This window comes from Homo sapiens, chromosome 7, assembly GCF_000001405.40.
Source record: "Homo sapiens chromosome 7, GRCh38.p14 Primary Assembly".
Taxonomy (NCBI): Eukaryota; Metazoa; Chordata; class Mammalia; order Primates; family Hominidae; genus Homo; species Homo sapiens.
Window position 1 is genome coordinate 63,916,476 of NC_000007.14, and position 23,688 is coordinate 63,940,163.

Consider the following 23,688-nt stretch of genomic DNA (forward strand, 5'->3'; position numbering starts at 1 on the left):
AACCAACAAATAATATATACCTACATATCGTGTAACTTTTTGTTGAAAAAAGACATTTCGAATATTATAGTAATTTTGAAATCAGATTATCATCCTTCTTCTGTGTTTTTGTTGCTACCTATTGCGACGTGTGCTCTGTCATGCATGTACATTGACATCTCTGTTCCATTAGCTTGGTAGTAAGCTACTGATTTGCAGAGATTTTCTTAAATGTTTGTTATTTCCCCACTTCCTCCAAATAAATTTTATAATGTTCTCTTTTGGGTGTGTGTGTGTGTGTGTGTGTGTGTGTGTGTGTGTGTGTGCGTGCTGGAGCATGCCTTTACTAATCAGCCAGAAATTTACAACTTGGTTCTTGCCTTACTTTCTGCTGATACAGAGTTTGAAGGTCAAACAAGGGTGAATACTGAGGGTCTTCCTGGGATTTCTTCTTTTCTTTTCTTTTCTTTTCTTTTTTTTTGAGATGGAGTTTCACTCTTGCTGCCCAGGCTGGAGTGCAATGGCGCGACCTCAACTCGCCACAAACTCTGCCTCCCGGGTTCAAGCAATTCTCCTGCCTCAGCCTCCCAAGTAGCTGGGGTTACAGGCATGCACCACCACACCCCACTAATTTTGTATTTTTAGTAGAGATGAGATTTCTCCATGTTGGTCAGGCTGGTCTCAAACTCTAGATCTCAGGTGACCCACCTGCCTTGGCCTCCCAAAGTGCTGGGATTACAGGTGTGAGCCACCATGCCCGGCCCTCTTCCTGGGTTTTTCTAGACTGCATACCTGGCCCTGAGCCTCCATATGACCTCCTAAATTTCCTAGACTATTATCACAGCCCAATCCCCAAAGTGTCCCATTCCCCAGTCTTTCCTTTTAGGGCTTTTTTTTTTAGCATGATTATTTTTTCCTCTATTAGTATATTTTGTCCCAGGAAAGCCAGGTAGTATATTCATTTAAAAGTTTGGGAGAACTTATTATTATTGACTTGAGTTTTTTTTTTGTTATTGAGATTTTTTTGTTATTGACTTGAGATTTGTCTTTCTTTTTTAATGAAGAAATTCACTGGTATAGGTTTCCCTCAAAACACTGCTTTCACCAGTTTCCGTAAGTTTTACGTTTTGGTTACATTGTCATTTATGTTAAAACACTTTCTGATAAGTATTTGTGGTTTTCTTTTGATCCATAAATTATTTGGGATTTTGCCATTTAATGTCCACATACTTAAGAGTCTCCTAAATTTCTTGCTTTCATTGATCTCTGATTCTATTATGATTAGAAATCACCCATTGTATTATCTCAATCTCTATTTTTACTGATGTTTTATGGCCCAGCAGGTGGTCTGTCCTAGAGAACGTTCCATGTGGATTTGAGAAGAATATATATTCTCATGTTGGATGCAGTGCTGTGCATATGTTTGTTAGGTTTAGTTGTTTTATGTTGTTGTTCATGTTTTCTATTTTTTATCTTCTGTCTACTTGTTCTATCCATTAATATAAGTGAAGCATTAAAGTCTCCAACTATTACTGTTGAATTATCTATTTCTCCCTTTATTTCTGTCATTTTTGCTTCATGTATTTCTGTGCTTATTTGATAACTGCATATATGTGAATAATTTTTTTATATTTTCCTGATGAGTTTACCCTTTGCCAATACAAAATGTCTTTATCAGTATATATTTTTTTGTTTTGTTTCATTTTGTTTTTTGAGACAAGAGTCTTGCTCTGTCACCCAGGCTGGAGTGCAGTGGCACAATCTTGGCTCACTGCAACCTCCGCCTCCTGGTTCAAGTGATTCTCCTGTCTCAGCCTCTTGAGTAGCTGGAATTACAGATACCTGCCACCATGCCTGGCTAATTTTTGTATTTTTAGTAGAGACAGGGTTTCACCATGTTGGCCAGGCTGGTCTTGAACTCCTGACCTCAAGTGATCCACCTGCCTTGGCATCCCAAAGTGCTGGGATCACAGGCATGAGGCACCGCACCCGGCTGCTTCTTGCAAGTTTTTGAACGTGTCAGTGAAGAAGCAGTTGTGTCATTTTGTGAAATAAATTTCCATTTACAAACACAGGAAGAGGACACATTCATGGACTCCAAACATAGGTCGAGCTGGCCCTCCTTATTTATTGGTTCTGCATTCCTGGATTCAACAAATGAGCCTCAAAAATATTTTTAGTAATGTTTCTGTACTGAACATTTACAGAATTTTATTTTTCTTTTCACTATTCCCTAAACAATACAGTATAACAACAATTTAGGTATTAAAAGTAATCTAGAGAAGATTTAAAGTATGCAGGAGAATATGCATAGGTTATATGTAAATACTATGCCATTATATATAAAGAACTTGTGCATCCATGCATTTTGGTATACAAGAGGACTCCTAGAACAAATCCTCCAGAAATAGCAAAGAAATATGATAAAGAGTTTACAGTGTTCATAAAACTCTAGCTGCTTACTAGAACAACAGTTCGATGAAATAAAAGGCAGACTTGAAACTGTCCTTGGCCTGTATGGCTTGGCTGGCAGCCCCTGGCTTGCATGCCCCTTCTAGCAAGATGCACGTTAAGGCCACTATGTGCAGCTGAGGGAGAGTCAGGTGGCTCTTCACCAGGAGCAGATCACATCCCTCTTTTTTCACATTCCTCCCTCTTAAGAGTGTCATGCTGAGAGGCATGCCTTCTTGATGCAGGAAAGAATTTGCTGGCAAGCTCTGCCAAACATCTGTTTCCATGTACTTCCTACGTACCCACAGTTGCAGATCATGAGAAATTAGATAGTTTATCAAAAATAGCTTTCACTTTTTAAAATGTTCCTTTTTAGTTACAGTTGAAAAAGAGAGAAGACAGTGCTAATTCTAGAAATGAAAGAGGATCTATCATTACTGAGCACATGAAGAATTAAAGAATAATAAACATTATAAACCACTCTATGCCCACAAATTTGATAACCTAAATAGACAAATTCCTTGAAAGAAACAAAACAACCTACCAGAATCACACAATAAGAAACAGACAATGTGAATAGTACTACATCTATTAAAGAAATTGGGTCAATGATAAATAACCTTACCAAACAGAAAGTACCAAACCCTAGTATATTTATGTAAATATTTAAAAGAAATTATTCCAACTCTCTACAATCTCCTCCAGAAAACAGAAGCAGAGTGAATACTTTCAAAGTCATTCAGTGGGGCCAGAATTACCATAATACCAAATTTAGACAAAGACATTACAACAAAAAAATGCAGAGCAATATCTCACATGAACAAAGATGCAAAAGCCCTCACCCAAATATTAAGAAATCAAGTCCAAAAATGTAAAAAAAGAATTATTTACTACAACCTAGTGAGATTTATTACAGGCATGCCAGGCTGGTTCAACATTTGAAAATAAATTAGGCTGGGTGTGGTGGCTTATACCTGTAATCCTAATGCAGTAGGAAGCCAAGGAGGGAGGATCACTTTAGGCTGGGAATTCAAGATAAGCCTGGGCAACACAGCAAGACTCTGTCTTAAAAAAAAATTAGTTCATCATATTAAGTTAAAAAAAGATAAGATCTTATCAATACTTTCAGAAAAATCATTTGACAATATCCAAAACCCATTCATGAGAAAACCTCTCTGAAGACTAGAAATAGAAGAAAACTTCAATTTCATAAATAATGTCTATAAAAAACCTACATCTGGCCAGATGCTGTGGCTCACGCCTGTAATCCCAGCATTTTGGGAGGCCAAGGCGGGTTGATCATGAGGTCAGGAGATTGAAACCATCCTGGCCAACATGGTGAAACCCTGTCTCTACTAAAATACAAAAAACTAGCCTGGCGTGGTGCAGCATGCCAGTAGTCCCAGCTACTTGGGAGGCTGAGGCAGAGGAATCGCTTGAACTCGGGCGGCAGAGGTTGCAGTGAGCCAAGATCGCGCCACTACACTCCAGCCTGGAGACAGAGCGAGACTCCATCTAAAACAAACAAACAGACAAACAAACAAACAAACAAACCCTGCATCTAACCTCATACTGAATGTGTGTGTTTTTTTGTTTTTTTTTTTGAGAGGGAGTCTCGCTCTGTCGCCCAGGCTGGAGTGCAGTGCCGCGATCTCGTCTCACTGCAAACTCCGCCTCCCGGGTTCCCGCCATTCTCCTGCCTCAGCCTCCTGAGTAGCTGGGACTACAGGCGCCCGCCACCGCACCCAGCTAATTTTTTTGTATTTTTTAGTAGAGACGGGGTTTCACCATGTTAGCCAGGATGGTCTCGATCTCCTGACCTCGTGATCCACCCGCCTCGGCCTCCCAAAGTGCTGGGATTACAGGCGTGAGCCCCCGCGCCTGGCCCTAACCTCATACTGAATGTTGAAACACTAGATGCTTTCCTGCTAAGATCAGGAGCAAGGCAAACATGTCTCCTCTCACCATTCCTATATAACATTATACTATAAGCCCTAGGTAATGCAATAAGACAAGAATAGAAAAGGTACACAGAGTGGGAAGGAAGAAATAAAACTGTCCTTTTACACAGATGATGTAATTGCCTATGGAGAAATACAAAAAGATCACAAAACAAAATCTTAGAATAACCAATTTTAATGAGAAATTATAGCAATTTGCACAATATAAGATTAATATACAAATGTCAATTACTGTCCTATATATCAGTAATGTAGTTAGAATTTGAAATTTAAAAATTCAGTGACATTTAGGCTAGCACCAATAACAATGAAATTCTTAGGTACAAATATAACAAAATAAATATAAATATAGAATCTATATGAAGAAACCGGCAAAACTGTAAAAACATCAAAGAAGATCTAAATAAATGGAGAGATAATCCACATTCAAGTAAAGAAGGCTTCAACATTGTTAAAATGTCAGTACTTCCCAACTACATTTACATATTCAATGCAATCCCAATCAAAATTCCACAAAGTTAGTTTGTGGATATTGACAAACTGATTCTAAAGTTCATATGGAAAGGCAAAAGGCTCAGAATAACGAAGAAAATATTTTAAAAGGACAGTTATAGGAATGACACTACCCAACTCTAAGCACTACTATAAAGCTACAGTAATCAAAACAACATGGTAGTGGTAAAAAATAATAGAGAAACATCAATAAAACATAAGAGAAAGCTCAGAAATTGACCCATAAAAATACAGTCAGCTTATCTTTGAGGAAAGAGCAAAGACAATTCAATTGAGAATGAATAATTTTTCAACAAACAGTACTGAACAACTGGACATCCACATGCAAGAGAAAAAAAGAAAAAAAAAAAACCCTAAACCTAGACCTGACAACTTTCACAGAAATTACTCAGAATGGATCAGAGACCAATATAAAAGGAAAAACCACAAAACTCCTAGAAGATAACAAAGAGCAGAATCTGAATTACCTCAGGTTTTGCTCCTTTGATAAAACACCAAAAATGTCAGGCGCAGTGGCTCACGCCTGTAATCCCAGCACTTTGGGAGGCCAAGTCAGGTGGGTCACGAGGTGAAGAGATCGAGACCATCCTGGCCAACATGGTGAAACCCCGTCTCTACTAAAAATACAAAAATTAGCTGGGCGTGGTGGCATATGCCTGTAGTCCCAGCTACTCCGGAGGCTGAGGCAGGAGAATTGCTTGAACCCAGGAGGAGGAGGGTGCAGTGAGCCAAGATTGCACCACTGCACTCTAGCCTGGGTGACAGGGCGAGACTCTGTCACAAAGAAAAACAAAAACAAAAACACCAAAAACATGATCCATGAAAGGAAAAGTTGCTAAGTTGAACCATATTAAAAATAACATTTCTGCATTGTCAGACACTGTTAAAAAATAAAAAGACAAGCCACAGAATGGGAGAAAATATTTGCAAAACACATAACTGATAAAAGACTGGTATCAAAAATATGCAAAAAATTCCAGAGCTCTTAAAACCCAAGAATAAGAAATGAACAACCCAATTATAAAATGGCAAAAGATACAGATCCTTACTAAAGAACATATAAGCATGGCAAATAAGCACATGAAAATATGCTCAACAGCGTGTCATTGGGAAATTGAAAATAACAATGGCATACTGCCACACACATATTAGAATGGCTAAAATCCAAAACAGGGGCTACACTAAATGCTGGTGAGGATGTAGAATAACAAGAGCTTGTTGGTGAAAATGCAAAGTCCTATGACTAGTTTGGAAGACAGTTTGCCAGTTTCTTACAGAGCTAGAAACACACTTACATACAATCCAGCAATCACACTCTTTGGCCTTAATCCAAAAGAGGTGAAAACTTTCATCTGCACAAAACTCCGCAGGTGACTGTTTAGAGCACTTTTATACATAATTGCCAAAACATGGAACCAACCAAGATGGTCTTCAATAGGTAAATAATGTTTTTAATAGGTAAATAATGTTCTTCAATAGGTAAATAAATAAACTGGCTGTGGTGCAAGCATACAACAGAACATTATTCACTGATTTAAAAAAATGAGCTGTCAAGGCTTGAAAAGACGTGAGGAACCTTAAATACATATGGCTGTGAAAAAGACAGTCTGAAAAGGCTACATACTATAGGATTCCAACTATATGACATTCTGTAAAAGGCAAAACCATGGACACAGTAAGAAGACCTGTGCTTTCCAAAAGTTTGGGGGGAAAAGGGGTGAGATGAATAGATGGAGTACAGTGGATATTTTAAGACAATAAAACTATTTTGTATAATGCAATAATGGATACATGTCATGTCATCATGCATTTGTCAAAATCCACAGAGTGTAAAACAGAAAACATGAATTCGAATGCAAACTTTAGATTTTAGTTAATAACTTTTCTATATTAGTTCATTAAGAGTAACAAATATGCCACACTAATGTAAGGTGTTAATAATAGAGGAGAAGCTGGGTGTGGGGAGAGGATATATGGGAACTCTGTATGTTCCGCTCAATGTTTATGTAAACTCGATACTCATCTAAAAAATAAGTCATATTAAATATCCCAGTGATGACTATCAAAAGTAGAATAGATTTAAAAATTATACTATGTTCATATAATTGAATATAGTACTATGCAGCAATTAAAATAAATAAATTCTGATGTTAAATGTCATCACCATGATGGTAATCACAAAAAGAAGCTATAGAATATACACAAAGGAAATAAAAAGTTAAAATATTTTACTAAAAAAAATTAACCCAATACATAAGAAGAAAATAATGTAGAAAATGTAAAATAAAAAGACGTAAGGTATACAGAAAACAAATAGCAAAATGACAGAAATCTACCTATGAATAATTATTTTAAATGTAAATGGATTGAACTATCAAATTAAAAGGCAGAGATCAGCAAAACAGACTAAAAAACATGATGCAACTATCATGTTTGTACAAGACTCACATTAGACTGAAAGACACAACTGGTTGAAAGTGAAAAGAGAAAAACAGATATTTCATGCAAATAATAAGCAAAAGAGATTTGGGTTGTCCTATATTAATATCGGACAAAATAAGACTTCAAATTGAAAAATGTTACAAAAGAAAACAAAGGCATTATGTATTCAAATCCAATAAGCAAACAAAACTGAGGTTCTGACTTTCAGTAATGCTAGAGTAGCTTGTTGAACACTCTCACAGGTAACGAGAAAATCTGGATAAAATATATATAGTTACACAGAAATGCACAACTATATACAATACATGCGTGTGTGTGTTCACCGAATGAGGATTTCAACTGTGTCCACTGTAGGGGAGGTAGGTATTGCTGTTTGAATCCAGTCAGATTAACCCCTCTTCAAGTAACAATGCTCTTCAAAGGAATACAACAGAATTTAAAGTCTCTATAACTACTATTTATAATTTCTAGTACACAATATTAAAATTCATGAAATGTGTGAAGAAACGTTAAAATGTAATCTATACACAAGATAAAAAGCAGGCAGCAGAAGCTAATTCTAAGATGTCCAAGACGATGTCATCAGCAGACAAGGGTTTGAGAGCAGCTATTATAAGTATAGTATGTTCATGGGGATAAAGGAAAACATCCTCATAATGAATTAACTCATGTGGAGCCTCAGCAGAGAAATGGAAATGATGAAAAGAATGGAATAGAGAGATAATGAAATGAAAAATTAAAAAGACCGTTGAGTTTATAAACAGTAGAAACAGAAGACAGCAATAGAAATCATCCAATCTGAAGAGTGAAACAAGTTTGAAGAAAATGAAAAGCGCCTTGGAGACCTGTGGAATGACTGAGTCCGAGAAGGAGAGGGAGAGACAGAAAAATTAAATGTGATACAAAAGCAAATAAACAATAGCCGAAAACTTGCAAAATTTGGTCAAAACCCCAAATTTGTATATTCAAAAGGTGAGCACACTTCAAAAAGAAAATACACATAAAACCATACCAAGGCCCTATTAGAAGACTGGCAGGGCAGGGTTTTCAAGGGACTTGCTATGATTTCTCATTTTCACTATTTATAATAATGGACAATATGCTCTCCTTAGAGTTTTCTTCCTGCAGAAAGTCTGTTACGTCAGGTGCAGATGACTTTTTAGTCTAGTTTTCAAGGTTTAATTTCTTAACTTGGAAATCAATTAAATTTGTTTCTTAAAATCTTGCAGTAAAACTGATGCTCCAGAAAGATGCCCAGGGAGATTCTGTCCTGCTGCGTCCGCACTGTACAGAACTGACGCTGTGCCTACGCCCGTTTCAGAAGCGTGGAGTACTTAAGAGTTAATCTAAAAAAGCAAATATAAAAATGGATTCAAAAAAATGATCACTGTTAAGTTCCACCGGCAAAGTCTTAAAAGCGGTACCAAAGGGAGTATTTAAAAAGGGATAAAGTTTTTCCAGGGAACCCTATTCAGGGCAGAAACACAGACACTGTCCAAACCTCACCACACAAACTTCTCTCACGTGTTGGGAGGGACCAAGGCGCTCAGGTCCTGCACCTGCGTTAATTACGGCAGGCAGGTCCACACCAGGACCCCGGGGCCTGGGAACCAGCCTGTGTGGGGGGGCAGAGAAGTGGTGGATGTGGCTCGCAAAATGTCCCTTTCTCCTGGGACATTTTCTCCTCTTTATCACAGTGACAGGAGCGTCTGTGTGCGAGGCCTGACCCAGACGCCGGCCATGCAGCCAGCCCGGGGTCCAATAGGTGCATCTGGGGAGCAAAGGGAGACCGAAAAAAAGGTGGTTTTCAAAAGTGAAGTGCCAGGTTACCAGAGACTGGGCACCTTCACATGAGGCAGCAAACAACGGTTTAGGACACTCACGAGGAAGCTTCCGTCGCCGGACCAAGGGGCAGCACTGCGCATGTAGCCAGGGGAGGAACAATAGAGGGTGGGGCTAAAAGGAGAGGCCCCTCAGTGGGAACGGGTGGGGTCGACCCGGCGGGGGGGGGGTGGGGTGAAACGAGCGTTACCATGGCAACCCTGCGGCGGAAGCTCTGAGAAGCTCTTGGCCTCTACCGGTTCTGCGAGAAAGTAAACTTTGGGCACGACAAGTCATGAAGTCGGCACGTTGGGGAGACACCGTGTCACAATGACAAGGTGAGATCAGCTGCCCCGGCCAAGCTGTCTCCTCGAGTGCAGGAGAGGTTTGTGAACAGCCAAGCTTCCCTCCGCATGGCGGAACTGCACTGGAATCCTGAAAGAGCTCGGTGCAGAACGGCCCTTTGCTGGGAATGATGGGAGCTGTAGTCTCTTATCCGCACCCAGGTGTTAGTTGTAGGTTTACAAGACTACAATCCCAGCACGAAACAGGATTGGGAGTGGTACAGATCCCTGGAGGGAGACATAGCGCGGTGCGCTACTGCAGGGTATTTGGCAGGAGTAGTGTCTTAGCCGCTTCCGGCCGTTGGTCGCAAGGCTGCGGGACTACAATCCCAGCATGCAACGGGAGTGGGGTTGGTGAGGACACCTGGGGGGGCAGCGCGGGGCGCGCCTCGCCAGGCATGCTGGGAGAAGTAGTTTCTTCACCGCTTTCGGCCGTTGTTCGCAGGGCTGCGAGACTACAATCCCAGCATGCAAGGGGAATGGGTTGGTGATGATACCTGGAGAGGGCGGTGCGCGCCTCGTAAGGCATGCTAGGAGGAGTAGTTTCTTTTTTTGTTTTTTGCTTTTTTCTTTGAGACAGAGTCTCGCTCTGTCGCCCAGCCTGGAGTGCAGTGGCGCGATCTCGGCTCACTGCAAGCTTGGGAGGAGTAGTTTCTTAACCGCTTTCGGCCATTGGTCGCAGGGCTACCGGCCTACAGTCCCAGCAAGCGCCGGGCTCGGGGGTGGTGCGCAGCCTCAGAGGGAGGAGCTGGGCCGTGTGGACCTCTCTGCTTCCAAACCTACGCTGGCCCCTCAGTCTGTGCCACCCTGGCTAAGGGGATTGAGTCCGGAGAGGGACTTGAGGGGTAGGTCGGTGCTGGGCAGTGAGGAGGGTGTGATGCTGCGAAGTGCATCTCGCCTTTGCCCAAATCGGACGGGTCTCAGCCTCACTCCATCTCCCGCTGCTCAGCTCGGTTTCCCTCAAAAGCGTCGCGCCTCCTCCAGCCCAGGGAGCCGCCTGCTCTCCTAAGCTGCTGTGGAACTGGCCTGAGGTCCCAGACGCTGTCCATTGTGCTGCTGCCCTCTACACCCTCCAGCCAGAGCGCCAGTTCACCCGCTTTTGGGAGAACTCTGCCGCCTGACCTGTCCGCGGATAAGGTCACAACTTTGCAGGGGGGTGACATGGGCTGTGGCTTCCTGGAAATGTCACCCTCACCAGCAACTTTTACATAGTTGTGAATTATGAAACATGAGGGAGGGTAATTATTGGTTTACCCAGGCGATGTTAAGAGCAGAGGAGAAAACCCTAATTTCCAGGCATGTGTCCTGAGCCAGGGACAGGTTAGCCAGACCCTGCTCCCCCAGTGCCGCCAGAGAGCAGCCTACTGCCCTGGTTTCTGTGGGAGTCCCTTCATGCTGCTGGGCCTTAGCCTCAGGGACAGCTCAGTCAGGTGACGGTGGGGATTACCCATGGGCTTCTGGAGCTGGGCCGGTGGTCCTAGAAGGGCCGTCCCATCCCCCTTGGAGAGGGTCTTTGTGCTGAGGGATGCCCACAGAGGCCTGGATACCAGGAACACTGCTCCAGGCCAGGGGCCTTTCTTCCAGATTTGGCTGGAAGGAAGGAAGACTTCGTCAGCTTTTCTACCCAGCTCATCTGGCCCTTGCAGGGCTGCACCCCATGGAACTGGGTTCCTGGAGTCCTCGAGGGCTTTGTGTGGCCCACTTGTTCTGATACTGAGGACACCCCTACAGGCTGTTAATTTCAGAGTAAGGGGTGTGTGCAGACTGTGGCATGGGTGCTGTCAGGGCATCCCAGGCTGCTCCGGGGACAGCACCCCAGTGTTCAACTTGGCTCAGGGCTTCCTGCCTCACACCCTTTCCCCAGGGATGTTTGGCCTGGGCTCCAGCCCTGGTCCAGAACTCAGCTGGGAAGGGCTGTAACTCTCACCTCACCCTCTCGCCACCTAATATAAGGGCCTGACTCCACAATGGGTGAGACTCCCCCTCACACTGGTCTCTTCAGCCGTGCAGGGCCATCCACTCCATGCTGCGAGTTCCCACACTGAGCTGAACTGTGTTCTGGCTCTGGGCTGGGTTCTCCTGTGCCCTTTCCCTGAATCCTCTCTGGGTCTGAGAGACTGATTCTCTCTACTCCCTGGCTTAAGTCTTGACATCCTGGGAGGGGTTCTCAGAAGTGAGGGGCTCCTGCTGCTCTCTGGGTCTGTTGGTACTCACAGGTGTGGGTGTTGGCTTGCACTGAGAAGTCCAACCCTTCCAGTGCCCTTCAGGGGTCCTTCCAGAGCAGGAGTGGTAGGGCGTGGGGGAGTGCCTTAGAGGGATCTTGCCCTCATCCTCTGCCCTGTCTATGAGATGTGTCCAGTAAACCGAAGGTCAGCACCTCAGGAATGAAATGTCTTTTGCAGAAACTTGAATGAAGCTGGAGGCCATTATTCTAAGTGAAATAACTCAGGAATGGAAAATCAAATACCATTATTTCTCACTTATAAGTGGGAGCTAAGCTATGCGTATGCAAAGGCATACAGAGTGATATAATGGACTTCGGAGACTCACAAGCAGAGGATGGGAGTGGATGGGGGTGAAAAAACTACCTATTTGGTACAATATATACATTATATACTACTCAGGTGACAGGTGCACTAAAATCTCAGAATTCACCACTATACAATTCATCCAGGTAACCAAAAACCACTTGTACCCTAAATGATACTAAAATAAAAATTATAATAAAACAACCATAATAAAATTAAAATTATATAATTATAAACAAAAATTATAATAAAAAGCTTTTTTTTCTTAAAAAGAAAAACCCATTGCCACAGTTTTTGGGTTCTGGTGTTTTGGATAGAAAGCCCCTTTTGCTCAGTAACACACACACTACTGGAGAAACAAAATCCTAAAAATTCAAGAACCTTGGCATAAATGATATTTCTGACAAGTTATTTATACACTGCCTACATGAGTATCGCAGATATGTTTTAAAGACAAAGATTCATGTTAGACTGGGTCAGCTTTATGCTTGGTCATTTTATTTCCAATTCTCCCTTAAAATACAAGTCATGGGTTGCCATGGTGATTAATCCAAATGCACTGTGATTACATCGAACTGGTGACGTGTTCTAATTTCCCTCTCAGTTACAAAATGAGCCTGATGCTCTTAGCCATCAAAATCTCACCAACACCTACTACTTCAGTTTTAACTCTGGTTCCTGTTTCAAGGAAATCACTGAAGGTTGCAAATCACAAAAAGACAAAAATGTTTTAATGAACCAAAAACTTAAAAAATTATACCCTCCTGAAGCCATGTAATTTGGTTTTTATTTATTTAATTGTTCAGCTTCATAAACCTACAACTGTAATAAAATATGCCATTCATGATAAGTTAATATTTATTGAATAGTAAAATAAATACACGGTAAGGGTAGATCTGGCTTCAGGTATAACTGTAATCAGGGCTGAAGTGAAATGTCTAGTAGTCAAGGACAAATGTCAGTTATAATCTGACCTCCTCCACTTGAAACACACAACAATAAATGTCTGAAAAGAAAGTTACACAGGGAATACATGAAAGAACAGTTATGAATTAGATTAAAATTATGAATTAATCTTAGATTAAGATTATGAATTAGATTGTTATGAATTAGATTAAGCCTGGTTTTAAAATAAAGACATACAAATATAAAAAATACTGAAGAACAATTAGCATAGAGGAGCACTAAAAGTATGATAATGTGTTTAAAAATATTAGTTTCTGAGTTAAGTTTGTAGATATAGAGACCTGACAAAGAGTTGCTCCTACACATAAAACAAGCAAACAAAACCCTGGAGAAACTGCAAATGAATGGATGGTTTCTCCTGAGCCCTTTAGAGAACTGAGGTCATGGGGCAGACTACAAACCCAACATCAGGGGATGCAGAAGCCTGCAGGTCACACAGGCCCCAGGTTTTATGTGCACCCTGAAAACCATGAAAACTGGTAAAATTAAGCCAGAAATTTTGAACTAGTTCCTAGTGGCTGTGTGTGGGAGGGTGAGGAGAATGTGAAACCTTGGAGTCTACAGATATAGGGTTTACACTGTTGTGTATAATTTTTCTAGGTACCCTACAAGGCCTGTCAGGGAAGATAGGGTAGAATCCTGAGAATGCTCCCACACAGTGCTGATGGGGAAGGACCACTATCCCATCCACTGCTACAACTCTGGAGACACAGCTCTCCTATCTCCCCTATATGACACAAGGCCTAATCTGCAGAGAAAGAGCATCCAAACCTGAGTCACAAGGCACTGGGGAAAAACTCCCGAACTGAGGGTAGAGAAACAAGGCCAACACCCACATTTTTGCACAGATGCATCTCCCATAAAGAAAACAAATTATTAACTTACAGGGCACTGTTGCAGGCCCACTTCAACTGGGAGTTAAGAACATGGAGAAGGAGTATCTCTCCCCTACCATGGACAAGTAGGGACAGGAATGTGTTCTTGCCCTGGCATTGCATCTACAGGAGGGGCAGGAAACTCTTCAAATGTCAGTAACCCCACACCCCAGTTCACAGTGCTAAGTCTGAGGCTTCCTCAGAACATTGGAGATCCCCTCACTCCCTCACCGCTGCTACCAGGCTAAGAAGCATGGAGTCAAAAGAACAGTGGAATATAGCTGGGCCAAGTGCAAGAAACCATGTGTGGGAAGAGACACAAAGGGAAGGCACAGCAAACCCGGGAGATATTAGCAAAGTATCATGAAAGGGATTTGAATTTCCTCGTCATCAGAAGGCTATTACTGCCATAACGACTTTTAATCCCAGCCTACCTCTCATCTACATGACCACAAACCCCTACACTAAGGCCTATCTGAGGGAAAATCGCTCATCGATAACCTAAAAACTATCCCCTTTCAATGCCAGTGGGCTGATGAAAAAAATAAAAAGAATAAAAAACCCATTTACCCCAATGCACTATCCTATACAACATATGCTATTGCTTTTAACAAAAATTAGAAGCCAAGACATCCCTTTTTATCTTTAGTGAGAATATTTATTTGTGTTAAAACCAAATTAAGGTCCCAGTGTGGAGTTCAGGATGCTGGGACCTCAGACCATGCTGGGCGCCCGCCTCCCGCCCGCCGTGGCCCGACCGCGTCCAAGAAGGCCCAGCGGAGGCTCCGGGGAAGGCGACCCTGGCAGGCGGCCAGGCCCGCGACATCGAAATCGGCGTCCGTTGCCCACGGAGCGCGGGAGGACGCACCTGCAGCCCGACGAGCGCTCGCACCCGCGGGACACGGCGCATGGATTCCGCGAGTACACTGTCGCGGCCACGGCATCCCGGGCCAGCACCGCGGCCTCGGCTCCCTGCTCTGCCGCTCTATCCCCAAGGCGGCTTTGGGTTCTGAATGTTCCTGTTCCTCAGCAGCCAGACGAGGGATGCCCAGGGACGGCCTTACAACAACGCAGGCTGCTGTGCGGCTGGGGCGCCCGCGTGGCCGGGGCCGTGGTGGTCATATTTCCCATGGACGCCATCAAGGTGAAGTTCATCCACCGCCAGACCTCCCCAGACGTCCAGTGCAGAGGAGTCTCCCACCGGGGTTAGGGAGATTGTGCGGGAACAAGGGGACCCAGCGGGGCCTCACGGCCCCCGCGCTGAAGCAGGGCTGGAACCAGGCCATCCGCTTCTTCTCCTGACCCCCCTGCATAGCTGGTACCGAGGGGACAACCCCAGCAAGCCCATGAACCCGCTGGTCGCTGGGGCCTTCGGAGCCATTGCAGGCGCAGCCAGTGTCTTGGGAAACGCTCCACTGCACGGGATCGAGACCCGGATGCGGGGCCTGAAAAGCACAAATGCAGAACACACGGGACTGCGGCTGCAAATCCTGAGAAAGGAAGGGCTCAAGGCCTTCTACAACGGCATTGTCCCCCACCTGGGCCGGGTCTGCCTGGATGTGACCACAGTGTTTATCCTCTGCCATGAGGTAGGAAAGCTGCTCAACAGTGTGGAAGACGGAGTAAGCCCGGAAGGGCCTTGAGGGGACCGCCCCAGGCACCTCCAGAGCGGCCACCACCCTTGTCTCACAGGATTCCAGTGCAGAAATGCCAAGCGGCCCCTGCCCAGGTCCCTCGAGCTCTGTGACCTGCCTTGTGCATTATGACGTCAAGTCTGTGTGTCCCCTAGGGCCATGTCGCCCCGTGGTCTGTATGTGACAGCGGCCCTGTGTCCACTTGTCTGGCCCGGTGTTGGCTGGATGTCCATCTGGCCTGTGAGTCTGTGCCCCCTTGTCCATGTGCTTACTGTGAGCCCTGGGCCTGTGATTCATGTTCTGCGTCATGTGACACTGCGCCCCACCTCCCAGGGTGCCCGTGTGGCCTGGGTCCTCGAGCCTGTCGCCCTGGCCCAGTCCCAGTCCACTGCCTTCCACCCTGCCCTGGGCTACCACAGCTGCCTCCAGGCCTCGGCCTGGTTTCACCGCATTCTCGGGATTACACCCCTGACCCCCAAATCCCGCCCCCCACCAGCGCTTCTCCCACTATTGGCTTAACTGGCCCGCTGGCCCTCCCTACGCCCAGGAGAGGGTGACACCCACCACTCTCAGGATCACCCTGCCAAGGCAGAGTAAACCGGATCCTATTGCAAAAAATAAAAAATAAAGTATGAAGCACAGAAGAAGATAAGGTACGAGGAAAAAGGGTTAGAAGTTTTTTTGTTGTTTTTTTTTTTTTGAGACAGAGTCTTGCTCTGTTGCCCAGGCTGGAGTGCAGTGGCACGATCTTGGCTCACTGCACCCTCCACCTCCCGGGTTCAAGTGATTCTCCTTCCCCAGCCTCCCGAGTAGCTGGGATTACAGGCACGCCCCACCAAGCCCGCCTAATTTTTGTATTTTTAATAGAGACGGGTTTCACTATGTTGCCCAGGCTGGTCTGGAACTCCTGGCCTCAAGTGATCCTCCCACCTCGGCCTCCCAAAGTGCTGGGAATACAGGCGTGAGCCACTGTGCCTGGCCGGTTTGGAAGAAATTTGATATCACATAAACTTTGCATACTGGAAATATATTTATAATATTTTAAATGTAAAAAGTATTATAAATATATTTATATTTATAAATATTAATATAAAATATTAAATTTAATTATTTTAAATGTTTAAGTAAAAACAAATGGGGAAAAGATGATATCAAAATAATTTTTGAAAGAGCAGGAAACTATAAACTGAACAAACAAATTTGGAAAAGAGCAAATAGAAATGGAATAATTTAAACATAAAGAAATTTAATATACAATATGTGAGTTAATTATAAAATTAGACTAAGTTGATGATGAGAGAATTAGTAAACTGGGTTAATGAATTGGAATTTTGAGCAGAACGAATATAACCAAATAAAAGGAAGAGAAACAAAATAATAGCAATATGTATGCAATTATACATATGTGAAGAATAGAAAGAGTAAAGCACAATTATTTCACTTGAATCCATACAAATAATGTCATACTAATAAATAATTATTTACAAATTTCTGAAATTAAAAACCAGACATGTGCCTAAAAGAGACACTGTGCCTGAAAGAGAGCAATAAAGAGGCCGGGTGCGGTGGCTCATGCCTGTAATCTCAGCACTTTGGGAGGCCAAGGTGGGCGCAACATTTGAAGTTAGGAGTTTGAGACCAGCCCGGGCAACATGGTGAAACCTCGTCTCTACTAAAAATACAGAAAAATTAGCCAGGCATGGTGGCCAACACCTGTGATCCCAGCTACTCTGGAGGCTGAGGCAGGAGAATCGCTTGAACCTGGGAGACTGAGGTTGCGGTGAGCCAAGATTGCACCGTTACACTCCAGCCTGGGTGACAGAGAAAGACTCCATCTCCGAAAAAAAAAAAAAAGTGAGAGAGCAATAAAGAAAGATATCCAACACGATAAGTCAAACTGCATAACACCAAAGAGAATGAAGAAAATTAAAATCCATGAGAGAGAGAGAGAGAATCTACACAGGTGAGAATAAAATCTCCACAGCCCATGGCAGAGCCAGAAAACTGAGAAGGAGATACTAAGAGTGCTGAAAAATTATTGTTCAACCTATAATTGAATACACAACTAGCATATTTTTAAATAAATAAGGGTAAACTAAATAACCTTCGAAAGTAAACACACACACACACACACACACACACACACACACACACACACACACAAAGAGAAATTTCATCTACCAACAGGAGCATCTTAAGTGTACACTTTAAGAAGATAGAAAAGTTGTCTTATATAAAATTTAGGGAATCAAAATTAAATGTAAGAAACTTGTGGACAAAGGGAACTATGATGTTGGACTTTGAACTAAAGAAACCACCAAGTTCTTGGCAGCATAGTTTTCAAAAGTATTAAGATGAAATAAAAGTGTAATAAAATAATATATCAAATCGCCTGCTTCTTGAAAAATTTGATGTCAAAATCTGTTTTTCAGATAATTGTTTTCATAATTTATTAATCATCTATGATATTTATATCACACATTATGCAAAATTTTGATTATTCTTTTATCAGAACTAATTAGCATAAAAGGGCTAACAGAAATTGCCCACAAGCATCTGGACACCCACGATGACTGAGTCATAAGCCCATAACAGGGTTGAGGATGATGAGATGATAAGGTCCACCCAGTACATGACCACAGAGCAACTCACCAGCAACAGAATGGTCTGTGTGGCCCTTTTCTCTGGGGAGGCTTTTGCAGAGAGGTTGGTGCTGGGAAGGTACTGGGGTTGTCTCTGATGTCTGGACAAAATAATTACCATGTATGCCCTTGAGAGAAACATGATTGCTACAAAGAAGACATCTGTAAGTAGTGGCAGCATGAAAAACAGGCTCCTGATGTTGTCCCTTATGTAAGAAAGTGAACAGTATTTACTGATACTTAGCACGTTGCTATTGGTCACATTAGAAGAGGCCACAGTGGAGGAGGGCAGGTTATTACTGAGAAACAAATTGAGAACCCAAAGAAGTGAAAGATGCAACGTGTGAATTTCTGTTTAATTCTTGCCGACCAGGAGGTGCTGGAGCTAATGGTGACAGCCTGGAACATACTCCGGAAGCAGGTGGTACAGATGGAGAGCCCTCATCCCTCTATGCATGTAGAATACCTTACGCTTGAAGTCATTCTGAAAATACTGTGACTCAAACAGGTCTGGAGATGCCAAGAAGCTCACAGTGAGGAGCATCACTAAGTGGACAAGGGCCAGGTGACAGGTGATGAGGTCAGTGGGCTTAGACCTGCAGTCCAGAGGGAGTGTGCAGATACAGAAGAAAAGGAGGAAGGTGTTGGCTGTGAGTCTAATACCGGCTTGGAAAAAAAGGGCAATTTTTAATAGTATCATAAGTGGAACAAGGTCATCTTAATCATGAAGAGGAATCATACTTTATATATCTGAAAAAAGCAATAGATATCCTATCATCACTATTTATTGCATGGTCAAAATTATTACCAACATTATCATTTTAATTTTACCCATTTATCTCGATTAACCCCAACTATCTTATATAAATTCTTTAAAATGTAGCCTGAGCTTTATTTTATAACAAATAAATATCATAAAATACATATCTCAAACATCCACACATCCACAATCACACCTATGTAGGGTGCACATTATCTATACTCATATAGTACTTGTGGCTCACTCCTCAGAAAGCATTTCCTTCCTTTCTGAATTTCTCAAATCGCTGAACATTCTCAGGTCTCGAATTTTTTTCTTCGTAAAAGCTTTTCAGCTTCTAAGAATATATATATTTCAATGCTCAAAGACAAAAAACTGTCCACTAAAAATTTTATCCTCAGAAAAACTATCAATTAAAAATAAATAAAAATAAAAACATTTCAGATAAATAAAAACTGAGGCAATTTCTTGATAGCAGACAGATCATTTGAGAAAGAATAAAAATAAGTTTTCAGGCTGAATGCAAGTAATCCCAGATAATTTCAATGCCCCAAAAAGACAAAGAGGACTAGTAAATGTAACAAATATTTAAGGCAATATAAGAAATATTTTTTCTCATATTACTGATTGTCAAAAGCAACTTTGTAATATTGTTTGTAATTGCATCTTCAGTGCAATTTATATAACATAAAGAAATTTAATTTATTTGCCAATAACAGCACAGAGAAGGTGGGTTCAAAAAAAGCTATATTGGGCTAAGAAAATCTGTCCAGGTAATAACTTGTATCCACAAAGATTTAAAAAAATACATTAGTAAAACTGAAAGATTAAAATAATACCATGAATAATAAGAAGTTTAACAAAATAAACCTGTAAATATACAAGTGCTCTTTTTTCTTATTTCAGCTAATTTAAAACAAATAAAATTATATGAGCAGATAACTATAAAAACATATTGTGTTTGTAACATATGTAGATTTAAACATCAGTACCCAAACTAGCAGGGAAAGAGAGAATAAAGTTGTACAGGAGTAACATTTTCATAAAAGGAACATAGGGTTAAAATGTGATGCTCCAACAAATGCATACATACATATACATAGTGTAATTCTCAAATTAATGTAATTAGCAGGTACTATTATGTGTACCTGCTGGTGCCCTAATCTTGGACTTCTCAGCCTCCATAACTGTGAGAACTAAGTTTAGACTCTGTATAAATTGCCTATTCTAAAATATTTTGTTACAGAAATAGGGATAGCCTAAGACAACATTCATGGTCATCCATGCTATAAATTAAATCACCAGAACTTATTTATTTTATATCTAAAAGTTTGCACTTTTTATCAACATGTCTTCGTTTCTTCCACCCACCACCCCCTAGGAACCACTGTGTGCTCTCTGTTTCTATGACTTTGACATTTTTGGCTTCATACATGAGTGAAATTAAACAGTATTTGTCATTCTGTGTCTAGCTTATTTCACTTAAGCTAATGTCCTCTAGGTTCATTCATATTGTTGCAAATGGCAGAATTCTCTTTTTTATGGCTGAATAATATTCCATTATATAAATATTCCATAATTTCTTTATCCATTCATCTATTAATGGATACGTAGATTGTTTGCATGTCTCAGTCATTGTAAATAATTCTGCAATGAATATAGAAGTGCAGATGTCTCTTCTAGAGACTAATTTTATTTTCTTTGGTTGTATATCTGGAAGTGAAATTGCTGGATAATATGGTAATTCTGTTTTAATTATTTGAAAAAGGTTCACAGTGTTTTTTATAATGGTCGTACTAATATTTCTGTATTTTTAAGGGCATGTTATACTCTGTTGGGAGACAGTTTTTATAGACCTGTCGGTTAATTTGTTTTATGTCTTATATAAGCTTCTGTTTGGACAATCTTTTCAAGGATGTTTCTAAATAACTAACAGCCTTGTGTGAAGTGAGTAGTGTCTCTTTTTAGAGCAGAGGTCAAATACATACATAAATAATTTAATAAAAATTATGTTTTCCCCAGAGGCAAAGGTTGGGAAGGTTTTATTTGAAACACTTTATTGATTTTTCAGAAAAATTCTCTGTATTTTGGTGAAGTAAGAGAGTAGTCCTTGAATGGAAGAGAGGACAAAAAGGGAACCCCAAAATACATGACGTGCTGAGAACCCCAAAGTCCAGTGGAATTCACGTCAGGCATACATTCCAGAGAGGTTCTGAGTGAAATCCCTGCTAGAAAATTTAGCCATATGAGATGAAGGAATTCCCCAAATTTAGAGGTATCTCCTAAGCCAAGAAACAAAATGATGGAGCAGGGCAGGGGCTCAATCCTTAAGAGTTTTTCAATTTTAGAGGAACTGGGAAAGCACATGGGGACCTCCTCATCTAGCAGGGTGGGGGATATGAGATCCTGACGCAACATCAGAACAGCAATAAAACATTGATTAGTTGGTGGGCAAGGGTCCTTGGCATGGCGGGCTAAGATTGGCTTCCTAGTGGCTGGGAGTGAGGTCTAAGGCTCAAGACAGCCTGTGCTGAGTAGGCAGGAAGGCAACTCATCAGCTTGGGTTTGATAAAAGGAAGGTTTAGCGGTATCTCCCTCAATCTTGGGGAGTGACCCTCGCAGCAGAAAAATTGTGGCCAGAGTCTGTGGCAAAAGGAGCCACTCCTTTTACTGGAACTTGAGGCAGTCAGACAGCAGGTACCGCATGGCTTGGGGCAGTTGCTGGAGATTTTTCTGAGGTCCAGGGACAAAGAGTCACAGCCCACCATAAAGATGATCTGGTCACAGCTGCCAATGTGGCTGTAAGCAGTGAGCCATTCATGAGTTTTTAGAGCACAGCTACACTGGCATAGACGTCCAACTGGGAGCTGAAGGGTTTCAGGTTCTGCATGAAAGTCACCTCAGCTGCGATCCATAAAATGGAGGCTGAAGGCTGCTCCAAGGGCTGGGCCCTGCTTCATTGTGTCTTCACTGTGGTCAGACGGGAGTCACTCATCTTTACCGGGAACCCTTTGTGTCAAAAAATGTTATTAGACTTGAGATCTTCTTGGATAATATTCTTGACATGGAAGTAGTTCATGCCCTAGGCAGTCTGCGGGGCCATGTCAATTAGCTGGACAATATAATATAATATAATATAATATAATATAATATAATATAATATGTAACATAATATAATATGTTGCGATATAATATATGTCAGACATTATATAATGATGTCATATGTAATACATTGTGATATCATAATATATTATACCATAATATATATGGTATAATACATTGTGATATCATAACATAACATTTTGATTTTTTAATATATTTTATATTTTTTATAAAATAACATAAATTATAATAATATGACATCATATTGGACAAAATTTTATTATATTACATTATATTACATATTGTAGTATATTGTGATATTATAACATAAAATTTTGTCTTATAATCTTATAAGAAAATTGATTTAAATTTTGTAAAAACATTAGCATATAAACTTAATAGAACCTAAGAAAATTATCTGCTCTCATGTAAATGACCACTTTTTCGATAACTCTGCGAAGGCCAGCTATGAGTGTGAAAAGGGTCTGCTACTTACTTTATGAGACATTGACTTCCAAATCATCACTGTTATTAACCAGTGCCCTTGCAAGATAAGAGAATATTTTACTCTAAGAAAGTATTTCTTTTTCTTTTTTTTCTCTTTTCTTTTCTTTTCTTTTTTTTTTTGAGAGGAGTCTCGCTCTGTCGCCCAGGCTGGAGTGCAGTGGCGCGATCTCGGCTCACTGCAAGCTCCACCTCCTAGGTTCAAGCCATTTTCCTGCCTCAGCCTCCCAGGTAGCTGAGATTACAGGCACCCGCCACCAGGTCCGGCTGATTTTTTGTAATTTTAGTAGAGACGGAGTTTCACCGTGTTAGCCATGATGGTCTCGATCTCCTGACCTCGTGATCCACCTGCCTCGGCCTCCCAAAGTGCTGGGATTACAGGCGTGAGCCACCACGCCCAGCAGAGAGCATTTCCATAGATACCATAATAGGAATTTTGCTCACTTTGGTTAATAAATTATTATAACTTTTTTGGTTATTAATAGTTTATGTCATTATTAAAAATATACTTCTACAGATAACACATAGCACAGGTGTTTTGATTTGTCCTTTAACCTCAGGTCAAATTTAAAAATTTTTATTCATCAAATTTTATTTATTTTAAATAAAAGAGACCTTGTATCTACCATGTGCTGTAACATCTGTACTTTGTTAGAAAGACAAATTCTCAGACAAAACTCATGACTATTTTGAAATTCTCCCTATTTTTATCAAAATCTAGATTTTAGGTAATGTTTCTAGGTGTTTCCTTTCAATAAAAATCCAAACCAAAACAAATTAAAAATGTGTAGGTAATTCCCATGCATATCAATAATTTTTCAGTGGGGTACTTTTATTTTTAAGAGAGGTATTGTTTATATGTATGTATTGATGTGTCAATCCGGTACAGTTAATATTGTACCTTTTTTTTTTTTGACAGCATCTCAATCTGTCAGTCAAGGTGGAGTGTAGTGATGCAATCACAGCTCACTGCAGCCTTCACCTCCCAGACTCGAGCAATCCTCCCAAGTCAGCATCCCAAATAACTGCACCATCTACAAGTGTGCACCATCATGCCCAACTAATTTTTTAAAAATTTTTGTAGAGATGAGGTCTCACTATGTTGCCCTAGTGAGGTCTTGTTATGTTGCCTAGGCTAGTCTCAAACTCCTGAGCTCTGGCTTCCC

At 41.5% G+C, this 23,688-nt stretch overlaps 3 long non-coding RNA genes and 3 pseudogenes across 12 annotated transcripts in view, besides 1 other annotated feature; 3 read left to right on the plus strand and 3 right to left on the minus strand.

Moving 5' to 3' along the window:
* LINC02848 (long intergenic non-protein coding RNA 2848) overlaps window positions 1-8,727 on the plus strand; it is a 25,305-nt gene extending 16,578 nt beyond the window's left edge. For 4 of the 9 annotated variants that reach the window (NR_186804.1, NR_186805.1, NR_186802.1 and 1 more), the window contains one exon: window positions 1,323-1,519. This is a non-coding gene — a long non-coding RNA (long intergenic non-protein coding RNA 2848). Of the gene's footprint in view, window positions 1-1,043; window positions 1,093-1,319; window positions 1,520-8,575 lie in introns of those variants that run through there. The other 5 variants (NR_186803.1, NR_186797.1, NR_186798.1 and 2 more) reach the window with 4 other exon arrangements.
* On the minus strand, window positions 4,551-11,439 carry LOC124901653 (uncharacterized). Its single transcript, XR_007060341.1, has 2 exons — window positions 9,379-11,439; window positions 4,551-8,692 (listed from the first exon to the last, which is right to left on the minus strand). It is a non-coding gene; the product is annotated as an uncharacterized LOC124901653 (long non-coding RNA).
* LOC105375318 (uncharacterized) overlaps window positions 9,430-23,688 on the plus strand; it is a 32,262-nt gene continuing 18,003 nt past the window's right edge. For both annotated transcript variants that reach the window (XR_007060342.1, XR_001745236.1), the window contains exon 1: window positions 9,430-9,505. This is a non-coding gene — a long non-coding RNA (uncharacterized LOC105375318). The remainder of the gene's footprint in view (window positions 9,506-23,688) is intronic.
* Window positions 9,812-9,871: an enhancer, noted in NCBI's record as "active region_26054". NCBI's record gives its function as "activates an Ori minimal core promoter by ATAC-STARR-seq in GM12878 lymphoblastoid cells {active_cell/tissue: GM12878}" and the evidence as "EXISTENCE:reporter gene assay evidence [ECO:0000049][PMID:35858748]".
* On the plus strand, window positions 14,635-15,758 carry SLC25A1P3 (solute carrier family 25 member 1 pseudogene 3; annotated as a pseudogene).
* On the minus strand, window positions 17,989-18,856 carry VN1R34P (vomeronasal 1 receptor 34 pseudogene; annotated as a pseudogene).
* ARAFP1 (ARAF pseudogene 1) lies at window positions 21,232-22,037 on the minus strand (annotated as a pseudogene).